This window comes from Homo sapiens, chromosome Y (assembly GCF_000001405.40).
Source record: "Homo sapiens chromosome Y, GRCh38.p14 Primary Assembly".
NCBI lineage: Eukaryota > Metazoa > Chordata > Mammalia > Primates > Hominidae > Homo > Homo sapiens.
The window spans coordinates 13,150,222-13,162,440 of NC_000024.10; the positions used below are offsets into that span (position 1 = coordinate 13,150,222).

At 34.5% G+C, this 12,219-nt stretch overlaps 1 pseudogene; it reads right to left on the bottom strand.

Annotated features, from left to right (window-relative positions):
- On the bottom strand, positions 1,321-11,996 carry TAB3P1 (TGF-beta activated kinase 1/MAP3K7 binding protein 3 pseudogene 1; annotated as a pseudogene).

The following is a 12,219-nucleotide window of genomic DNA, read 5'->3' on the forward strand; positions in this document are numbered from 1 at the left end:
AGTGAACACTGATATAAACTATGGGCTTGAGTGATAATATTATATCAATATTGGCTCATCAACTGTATCAAGTTTACAACAAAAATGCAAGATGTTAATAATAGAAAAAAAACTGTGAGGGAAGGAGGTGGAGGTATGTGAGAACCCTCTGCATTCCACTCCCTTTTTTCTGTAAACCTAAAATTGCTCTTAATAAAAAAAAAATTAAAAAGCGAGGCTGGGTGAGGTGTCTCACACCTGTAATTACACTTTGCAAGGAGGATATCTTGAGCCTAGGAGGTGAAGACCGGCTTGGGCAATGTGGCAAGACCACATCTCCACAAAAAAAAAAAAAAAAAAAAAAAAAAAAAATTGCCATTTCACTCTAGTCTGGGCAACAGAGTCAGAACTTTGTCTCTAAAAAATGAATAAGTAAGAAAAAAATAAAAAACAGTATGTCTTGAGCTTGAAATACATGAAAAACAGTTTAACCAATATTCAAATAATTTAGGTCAGAGAAGCTACCTAAAATATGTACCCCAAATGGCAAAATAAGGAAGTCAGATGAGATATTAGAAACTTAAAATTATATAAGATTTCTCATAAATAAGCATTGTCTTCTATTCTTACATAATTACACAATAAATCTTGAACTGGTTAAAACAAAAGAGATAAAAATATAAAATATATATTTCAGATGAGGTCTGATGTATTTATTAATAAAAATTAATGGTCATTAACAAAATGGGATAGAAAAACTAAATCTAAATCAGTTATTCAATATAAAAATTAATTGAAATTAACTTAATATACTGAAATGCCTATTTAAACACTGGCAGATATAGAGCAGAAATATAGAGCAGATCTGATAGCTTTTACTATTGAATAACTCCTAGGTAACAACTGCCAAAAAATAATCCTCGTACCTTGGTTCAGTGACATTTACTCCGTTATGCTCACCTTTTTAAGTACATAGGGATTGTTTCAATGCTGACAATCTTGGTTCTTTTGTAGATTCAACTTCCCATTTATGTACATTCTTGAACATTCTATGTTTATAAATTCTAAATATTTTCATAAGCATTATCTTTTAGGATTATATAAATGTAGTCTATATAATACAGTTTTTCACATCTCATTAAAAACCCTCTGCAAATAATTTTAAGTGCTAACAATGTGGGTGCTCTTAACATTTAAAATTTGGGGAAATTTCATTATTGCCACATTAAAATCAATATGGTAAATTTAAATTTTTTTCTTAACAAGCTAATGAATATCTATCTCTACTAGAAATTTTCAAAGAATTCATAGTTATGATATTTCTGACATTTCACTACTCACCTTTTTTAGATGGGTTGGGTGGTACAACTGGGCCATGTTTTATGTTGTCATAAAAATTATTCATGGCTTTTGGATCAAAGTTGCCTATAAAAAAAGGAACTAGGAATTTATGATTCTTTCTCTCAAATTTCATTCTTTCACTATTATTTGATTTTTCAAGGAGTAACTATGAAAATTAAAATTGGAAGAAAGATAATCATTTTCTAGAATTTAAAATCTCATTATCATCTCTACATCACAAAACTGTCACATCAGTGTTTGTCTATAATTTATCATGTAATGGACTATTTCTCCAATTGCAAAGCTAGTCTCCCTCGGCAGGATTAAGCATGAGGGACATTTTAGAAAGCAAACGAAGAGGAGAAATGGAAGGATGACTGAACAATTTTCCTCTGTACTTGCCCATAAGAGCTATGACAAAAAAAGATATAAGTATAAAATAACTGCTTATGGATTCTTATGTTCAAGGAAAGAGAAGCTTAAATATTATATACAGATTTATCAATGACCAAAGAGAATATTGTGCTTATTTCACAACAATAAAACAATCCTAAGAACTTAATGTTGCCTCAAATATTTCACTTTTAAAAAAGTTCACTCCGGCCGGGTGTGGTGGCTCACACCCGTAATTCCAGCACTTTGGGAGGCTGGAGCAGGTGGATCATGAGGTCATATTGAGACCATCCTGAGCAACATGGAGAAAGCCATCTCTACTAAATGCAAAAATTAGCGGGATTTGGTGGTGCACGACTGTAATCCCAGCTACTCAGGAGGCTAAGGCGGGAGAATCTCTTGAACCTGGAAGGCGGAGGTTGCAGTGAGCCGAGATTGTGCTACTGCACTCTGTCAACAGAGCCAGACTCCTCAAACAAACAAACAAACGAACAAACAAAGTTCACTCCCAGAACAAGTGTCTATACTTCAGCTATATCTCTTGCCTTGGCTTCTCCAACATTAGTTTTGATTCAAGCAATGGTTTGGAGCCCATCTTCACTTCCGCAAACCAGCAGACTGTCCTGCACAATTCCAATTAAGATTTATAACTATGCCATAGTTATTTACAGATAATGATGTATGGTAGAGATAATTCAAGTATAGTAAATCTCTTAATTTGTAAATTTTTTTCCCAGAAAAAGTTTTCCTCCCTAAAATCAACAAAAAAATCTACTTTTTATCAAATCAAGCATTAATCTAATCTAAATGTCAAAGAAAAAGAGTATTCTTTTTCTAAATTAAATTATAGATTGGAAACTCATTATTAAAAGTTTTCCAGAGATTGGGGGGGGGGGGGAAGAAATTAGTTAATTCTGCTGTATTTAGATCTGTTATCAAGGGAATTAGAAATACTAAAATATAAAAAAAGGGCTTATTATAAGGATATTACTCAATGTAGACCAAAAACATCTCTTATTAAAATTAAATAGTGGTTTCTTTTGTGGGGACATTTGAACGTTTATTTTATTTTAAGATAGCTTTCTGAAAATAATTTATACATAGCTTTCCAAGTCTCTACTCGATCCAGGAAGTCCAGCTACCTTCACCTCTCACTGGGATTACAGGGATGAGCCACTGCACCTGGCCTGAACATCAGCTAAGTATATTTTCCAAATAAGTTGAACATTACTTAAACTGGTGATCAGTTAAGATCATCTGTACTATAGTGTACCTCCATAAAAAATTAAAAATACTTTACACAGGATGTAGTTAAATATTTTCACATCACATATTTGCCCATATTAAAAAATGACATAAGAATGATTTTAAAACTGAGACATCATAATTTTGGATCTCTACTCATAGATTTTTTTTTTTTTTGAGATGGAGTCTCACTCTGTCGCCCAGGCTGGAGTACAGTGGGGACATCTCGGCTCACTGCAACCTCTGCCTCCCAGGATAAAGCAATTTTTCTGCCTCAGCCTCCCGAGTAGCTGGGACCACAGGCATGTGCCACCATGCCTGGCTAATTTTTGTACTTTTAGTAGAGAGTTTCACCATATTGACCAGGCAGGTCTTGAACTCTTGACCTTGTAATCTGCCCACCCCAGCCTCCAAAGTGCTGGGATTACAGGCAAGAGTATTCATAGATATTTTTAAGAAGCACATAAACATGGTTTGGAATTAAAAGTCATCAACTTGTAAAATATTCACAACTGACCAAAAAAGGAAAAATGCAGAATAACAGTATAGAATAGCCTAAAAGAGCTTAACAGTGAAATTGTCAAACTAAAACTATTACTGATGCCTCAAATATGACCTATAACTATGGAGTAGAAATTTCTTTACTAGGACCATAACCTTTCTTATATAACATTTTTCTTAATCTCTGAAACCAAAGTAACAATTTAAATACCGAATTATTTCTTATGTTACCAAATAGTGAAGTCTATACTTCTAGACTGAAGGAGGTTAACTTCTTTCAGTGTGCAGTCAACATTTATCTAGAGCTGTCTGTTCATGCGTCTCAATCTTGTTATTTTCTCAGGCTAGTATTTGTGGGAAAGTCAGTATCAAGCCCAACATTTAAGAACTCCATTTTATGTTAATATTTATGACAGTTCATTATGAAATATATGGCCACAGTTGCTAAGAAACAACATGTATAATTCTACATGTGATTTATAAGGGGCAGTCAGGTAAAGTGGTGACACATATTTGCAGTAAACAATACTTAGAAAAAAAGAAGGAAAAAGGATGGCCACATATAAATATGCAACATATTCCTCGTGTAAAGCAGACACTGTTTTAACATTAAAAAATATTACTTCTTTAATCACACAGCACTGAGACTATTTCACTTAAATACTTATATGTCAAGGGAAATTATAGAAACCAACATTTTAAAGAGTCAAAGCCAATAATTTTAGGTTTGCCAATACTGGTGGAAATAATACAGCAGCTGTGGCAGGCAGTGGGTTTACCAGAATTCCTTTGTTTTCTCACAACACTCTTTCAAGGTAGGTACTGGTATCTCCTTCAACTTGAAGATGAGGAAACTGAGACACACAGTGATGAAATAATATTCCCAAAGTCATAAATCCAGTAATTGGTAGGGCCAGGATTTATATTGAAAACTACATATATTCTTTTTTGTCTTTATTTTCTAGATTTTTAAAAATAAGCTATTAATGTAGAACATATACTCCACTTTATTTTCTTCAGCCTTATCTTTCCACCCACTCTACTACTCATTAGGACTTTCAAGTATAAACATAGGGTAGTAAAATGTGAAGTAACTTTTTAGTTCACTTAAATGAAGTGAATGTGGTTTTTTTTCACATTCGTAATTTCTTTATGCATACAATTAAAAACTCAGAGATCTGAACCCAAAGGTATGGCTATTAAAGCTTTTAACAGAGCCCACTTTCATTAGACTGTCTGGAGTTACCTCAATTGTAAAGGAGATCTCAACTATATATACATTAAGTAACAATAATGCAGTAACTCAGGCTGTTGGGAAGTATTAGCAAATTTAGGGACTGCCCAATAAATCAGCAGATATCAAAACAACATAAGTGATATAAGAGACCAAATATAATAGCAAGGTAATACCCTAAAATTCTAAAGATAAATATCATTTAGAAATGTTTTCTTCTTTATTTATTACTCAAGGAAAACCCTAAGTAATTAACATATAAACATATATAGCCATTAACATATAAAATGTTTGAGTCTGGCTACCAGGTAATACAGAAAAAATTTGAAGCGTATACCTGCGCTTTAACAAAAGATATAAAGCACTTATATAGCTAATGTTCTCTTCCATGCAATATGCAAGAAAAAGTGTTCTTTTCTTTTTAGGATTATATCAGTAAAGTCGAGTAGCTGAAGAACCTGTTTCCTTAGAACTCATTAAATTAACTGTTTATAATATTATATATGTTTTCATAGCTTCTGGTTAAATAAAACTGCCTCTCAAAATAAACTACCCATTATCAAAAGTATTCATGGAGGAGGGGTTTCAAGATTTACTGTGTAATTTACGGTTACTTGGATTTCTCTCTTACAGCAGCTAATATAATGCTTGGTTTAGTGGTAGATTGAGACAGATGATGATTATTACACATCTTTCATGTAATTTTTAAAAAAGATTATTCACAGCTATGCTGTAAATTTCTGCAACCACATATATAGCTAGACACATACATATATTCCAAATAAATTAGGTAAATGTATTTGTAACCAACTTTTAAAATACTGCTTGTTAAGAAAGTAAGGTTTGAAAACTTAATACTCTATGATTAGCACAAAAAAGTCAGTTCTCTATTCTACAAGAACAAGATAAAGATCAGGCTACCCAGCATTTACTGAGAAATTACTTGATAAAAATATTACTATATGTGAGATATAAATTCTCTTGAAAAATGGAAAAAATAAACATAGGTAAATTGGACATAGTCAGTGAGTGCCAAAGCAATTTTAACTCCAAAACCTATGTAGGCATTCTTTCCACAGTATCATAGCAGCACTGGCAGGCATTGGATTTACCAGAATTATATGAACCAAAAGGGAATTCTGATTAAATGCTTTATTTCCTGATTAATTCCCTCATAATACATTCCTGTATTATTCCTGTATGTTCCTAAAGTTAAAAGGAAAACAAATTTAGATTTGCCTCAGATTCACATGGGTAAGATTTTTCCAGTATTTTGTAACCTGCACTTTTCCTGAATCTTTACAAAGTTAGGCATTGAGCTAAATGTCTTGTATGTTAGGTTACATAATACTAACAAAACTCTCATGAGATTAATACTGTACCATGCACATTTCATAGAATAAAACAAGTATAAAATTACCTTATTCAAGGACATGTCAGTGACATGTAAATTGTAGACGTAGGATTAAATTTTTCATCTGACTCTAAAACCCAGTATCTAAAACTGCCCCCAAGCTATGCACTCCCTATACCCCTTCACTTTACTTTGGGCCTGGAAGTGGAAAAACCTGGGAATCACATTCAAATCTCTCATATTCCAAATATTGTTATCCACATAAATTAACAAATTTTGAAGCTGAATGGTATGAGAGTTCATTATATTATCCTAGAAATTTTATGTATCTTTGAAATTCTCTGTAATAAAAAGTTAAAAATCAGTTAGTTGTGACGTGAATTTTAGCTCAATGAAATAAATAAATTATGGCTCAGCATGGTAGTGTCCTCAAAAAACTCTCATTTTCTTTTCTATTGTCTGAAGAAATCTCATAAGTAAAAGCTCTGATACAAATCCTATTTTCAGGCCACACATGCTGGCTCACACCTAAATAGTCCCAGAGCTTTTGGAGGATCATGTGAAGCCAGGAGTTGAAGACCAGCCAAAGTAACAGAATGACACCACATTTTTACAAAAATAGATAAATAAAAAATAAATAAAAATAAAAACATATGGTAGTCCTAGCTACTTAGGAGGCTGAGGTAGAAGGACTGCTTAAGCCTAGGAGTTCAAGGCTGCAGCATGATATGATTACACCACTATACTCTGGTCTGGTCAACAGAGAGAGATCCTATCTCTAAGACATATAAATAAAATATGAATATAAATATATATATAAAATATAAAAATATAAGTACTGTTTTCATAGTTTTGAAGCACTAACCCATTGTGCATCAGATAGCTTCCTACTACCAACAAAAAGTTCAGTAGGGTCATATTTGGCAGAAATTTTCATATAGTAAGTGCTTGCCATTAACAAAAAAATTTCATAGGATTATTTTAAAATAAGTGAGTTCTGGGCTAAGAAAATTCGTTTATACAGGTACATAATGGACTGAAAGTATTCAGTGTACACAGGTGGATTACCAAACTGGTTATATACTTCAATGTCTTCCCTAATGAAACAACTGAATTAAGATTTCAAATGGAGAAAAAAAGAAGAGTTGATTTACATTAACACTGCCTTTCATTTATATTTAAAGATGTCTTTCAGTCAGGTATGGTGGCTCAGGCCTGCAATCCCAGCACTTTGGGAGGCTGAGGCAAGCAGTTCACTTGAACCCAGGAGTTTGAGATCAGCCTCGCCAACATGGTGAAACCCCAACTCTACTAAAAATACAAAAATTTGCTGGGCATGGTGGCACATCCCTTCAATCCCAGCTACTCAGGTGGCTGAAGCACAAGAATCACTTCAACCTAGGAGGCTGAGGTTGCAGTGAGCTGAGATTGCACCACTTCACACTAGCCTGGGTGACAGAGAAAGGCTGTCTCAAAAACCAAACAAACAAAAAGATACCTTTCATTTGAAGACAGTTCTAATTTTACAACTGTTAATGATATCAACGTTTTAAATTTAGTTACTATTAGAAATGGTGTTTTTATATTGTTGAAGATGCCTGTACTCAAATCTGTTTCTAAAAAACTTCTGATTCTCTACTGGCAATACAATAAAGTCCTAAAACCTCAAATTAGGCATATTAATCTTTGTTAAGACATTGAAAAATCTTACTTTTGAGCCAGGGAATCATATTCACTGCTTTCTGAAATTCAGTATGTTTTGATTTCAAGTCACTAGCTCACACCTTTTTCCCTACCAAAAATGCCTTCGCCTTTTCTTCTTCCTATTGCAATACTGTCTACAGTTGAGGGCAGTGGTTCCTAACCTCTTCCTCTTGCCCAATGCCTTTCATTTAATAGCCTTAGGAAAATCAGATGAAAGTTACAAACCCATGTCACATTCAAACACAAAATTTTGCGTGTAATTTCACAGAATTCATAGGTCCCCTCTGAAGCCATGAATCTCAGTTCAAATTTTCTAAATGAAGACTTAACTGCATATTGCAGACATACCACAAAAGGCCTGATGTATATGCCCATTTCTCTAAAGTTATGAAGACCACGAGAGGAGAGAGATAAGGACAGAAATGGAGAGAGGGCATGTATAAGCAGACAGATTACTTTGAGGAAGGTCCCTGAAAAAAAGTAGAGGTTAAGGTGAGATGTGAAGAAAGAATAAACAGGATTTATACATGCAGGGATGTAGGCTTAGGGCATTATGCCAAGGGAATAATATAAGAGAGTGAAAAAATGATTGGATGATAAACATTCATCTAGCTGATATGATAGTTTATCAACATAAATGAGTATACATAGCTCTTACCATATTGTATTATAATTATCTGTTGATGCATCTATTTTTCCTACTAGCAGATATGCTATAAGCACTTAGCACAGTACCTCATTCAAAAACTGTATGCAAAAATCTTAGTTGAGTAAATGTTGAAAGGTGAAATAGTAGGTTCAATCACAGAAATCTTGTGATGTAAAGATTTTAAGAAGTATTTACAAAATTACGAGTTGCTTAAGAACTTAAACTTCGGCCAGGTGCAGTGGCTCATGCCTGTAATCTCAGCACTTTGGGAGGCTGAGGTGGGTGGATCATGAGGACAGGATATCGAGACCATCCTGGCTAACACAATGAAACCCCATCTCCACTAAAAAAAAAAAAATACAAAAAATTAGCCGGGCGTGGTGGTGGGCACCTGTAGTCCCACCTACTTGGGAGGCTGAGGCAGGAGAATGGCGTGAACCCAGGAGGTGGAGCTTGCAGTCAGCTGAGATCACGCCACTGCACTCCAGCCTGGGCAACAGAGCGAGACTCTGTTGAAAAAAAAAAAAAAAAAAACCTTAAAATTCATGAGTATCAACCAACACATAAAATATATATCCCCCTAATATTTTCATTAGACTAATTCCTCTTAGAAATCTTAACAATACTCTAAAATTCAGTTTTTAAAATTACTTACATTAAATAAAATTCAGAAGCATTAAAAATAGTTTATGGCTAATACATCTTTCAAATTCATACTGGTCTCTTTCTAACTCCAAGCTGGACGCTGTGGCTCATGCTTGTAATGTCAACACTTTGGGAACAGAGGCAGATAGATCACTTGAGGTCAGGAGTAGGAGAGCAGTCTGGTGAATATGGTTAAACTGTCTCTATTAAAAATAAAAATAATTAGTCAGGCATGGTGGAGCACCCCTGTAATCCCAGCTACTTCAGAGGCTGAGGTGAGAGAATCACTTGAACCCAGGAGGCAGAGGTTGCAGTGAGCTAAGATCATGCCACTGTACTCCAGCCTGGGCAACAGAGCAAGACCCCACCTCAAAAAAAAATTACCTAGAAGAAATAAATTCAAGGAGAAAAACAAATAACATCTCCAATCTCTATCTTGGTTTCAGTCTTCATTTTTATTTTGAATGAAAGAAATTTATAAAAATAATATGTTGTATTTTATTATATGTGTCAGTATATGAAGACACTAATGAGCCTAGAATCACTCTTTTGCAAAATAGGCCATTGAATTATTCTAACAAAAGGCATTGTTTTCAAACACTATGCAGGAAGTAAATACTAAAAAATGAAATTGCCTAGACAGTTAATATCCTCATGTCCCTTCTAATACATTCTGACAAATCACTTACCATTGGGATCACAGTAGTGCAGCTGACCCTTATTAGCCATCTGTGCATCACGTCATGTTCCATATCATTAACTTCAGCCTTTAATAGCTCTAGCTCCCCTTTCTCAAGTTGCAGCTGCTTTGCTAACCTCTCCATCCTTGCTCGTTGATGTAACAGCAAGGCTATATATATATATATATATATAAGCATTAAAGATAGGGCCATTGCAGAGAATAACACTGAAAAATCTACCTGGAAATTTATGTATAAAATAATCATAAGAAATCCTATCATCTAACTTTAATTGGCATTTCCTCACATTTCTTTCAAGTTTTATTCCACTTATATGGGATAGAACTAGACAGACCAAAATGTAACTGCTGCATCTATACATCCATGTAGTTATGTGATATTTTCAATCAGATTCTTTCAAACTGTAAGTGTGTGTGTTTTAAAAAGGCCCAATATCACACATAGTAGCATGTTCATTCTAATTCCAATTCTATGTTATAATTATCATTACCCCTTTCAGTACTTTTTCACTCCAAAGTTTAAATTCTTTCACTTTGATGAAGATTAGCATCCCTCTAAAAATCTATTTTCCCCTCTCTGAAGTCTGTACTTTTGACGATATACATTTTACTTATTGACATCTTTCTCTCATTATCCTCAGAAGTATTTTAGGTCTTCTCATGCCGGTTTTTCATAAGAAAAATGTACAGGACTTTGTATGTAAGTAAATTTGTAGATGACTCTGAAGGACTTGCCTTATCCTTATAAATTACATTGTTCAACATTTAATAAATATTAAACTTAATAGTGAATATAAATTACTTTATTTTGAATAAGAATTTAACTTTTCACCTCAAAGATTGAATTTCATAAAACAATTAAAATTCACCTTGTACATAGGCATAGTCATCTGATCCAGAACTAGAACGCTGATATTTATGACTTACCTTTTTTCCTCCAGGACCTGGAGTCACTAAAATTGGCTGAACGGGTTCTGGCGCTGCCAACTATTCATCTTGGTCCATGAAATTTAAAAGATTTTCAGTTGTTGCTCCACCTACAGTAATTTTTAAAACTGCAGATAGATGTGGTATTATCTGAGGAGACTGTGATAGGGCACATGAAGGTCCACTTCGTTGTGTATATGTAATATGCATGGGATTCACATTCATTGAAGGCTTTGATTGACTATACATTCCCCTTGAAGAACTTCAAGGTGTTACAGTGCCTGCATAGAGAGAACGCCAATTACATGGGGAAAGTTGATTACTGATGGGTGAAGGACAGCTATTAATTACTGTTCCAGGTCTTTGAGAAGGTTAAACCATAATTTCTGTCTTTTTCATGAATCCTCTGTGCAAGCTAGATGTTGTGTATTGGATATATGCTACTGAATGATTTCACTGTTTCTGACAGCCAGGAGGTCCTGATTAGGTGGCACAAAGATGTGACTACTTGGGTGGCCCAACTGGGAAGGCTGTACTTGATGATGAGGAAAGCTGAAGGGTGAAGAACATTGAGACCTAGGTGGTGACTGGTAAGCTGACTGAGAAATCTGCTGTTTGGGAGAATACTGAGATGTCTGGTAGTTCTGTTGATGTGGATAAACAGGTAAAGGATGCTGGCTATAATGAGGCAGTGGCCCTGTAGTGAGGACTACCATGGCATACTGTAACAGGTGTGCCTCACACAAATAGAAGCAGGAGAACCATTGTATTGCTTGGAATTTGTAAACCTCTTGGTACCGTCTGTTAAGAAGCAAGGTTTTGAGATACTGTAATGGTAACAGGATTTGTACTATACTGAGGAATGTGCACAAATGAAGGAGGAGGTGGTGATGGTAGTGCACACCCTTGCATAGCAGACAGATTCATTTCCATTTGCATGGAAAATGACTGTTGAGGTGGCTGTGAAGAAGGAATACCTGCATTGCTGTGCTGTTCAATCATAAAAATTAAATTATAGTTGCAAGTGGCAGTCACAACAGCTGGAAATGAGTGTGGTTCTTGAACTAAATATATAAGCTGTTTTACTTACTCTTTGGTGTAGATCAATATGCCCATCACTTGAGCTATGTACCAGCGTTTGTCCACTATTAAGTTGAGCTCCATCTCCTGGGTGATAACTACGAGAAGACTGAATACCCAAGTTAATACACAAATGGTGATTTCTATTCATCTTGTTATCTGGACTATGGTATTCCAAATATAAATATTTGTTACTCTCCTGGGAAAGGGCTTGGCAACAGGCATCAAGATTATTACTGGTCTGGGCGGGAAAAATGATGAAAGTTAACACTAAAAAAACTGAAAATAGTGAAAATCACTCTTTGACTGACAGAAAAATTCAGTCATCTTAGAGTAAATAAAAATACTGGTTTAATCATAAAAAACTTCAAACTCAGTTATCCTGTAAAAGATATCAAAGTATTCACACACTTTACAAACACTTAGCTTACATTAGTTTACTTGTATAGTAGATTTATATTACATTA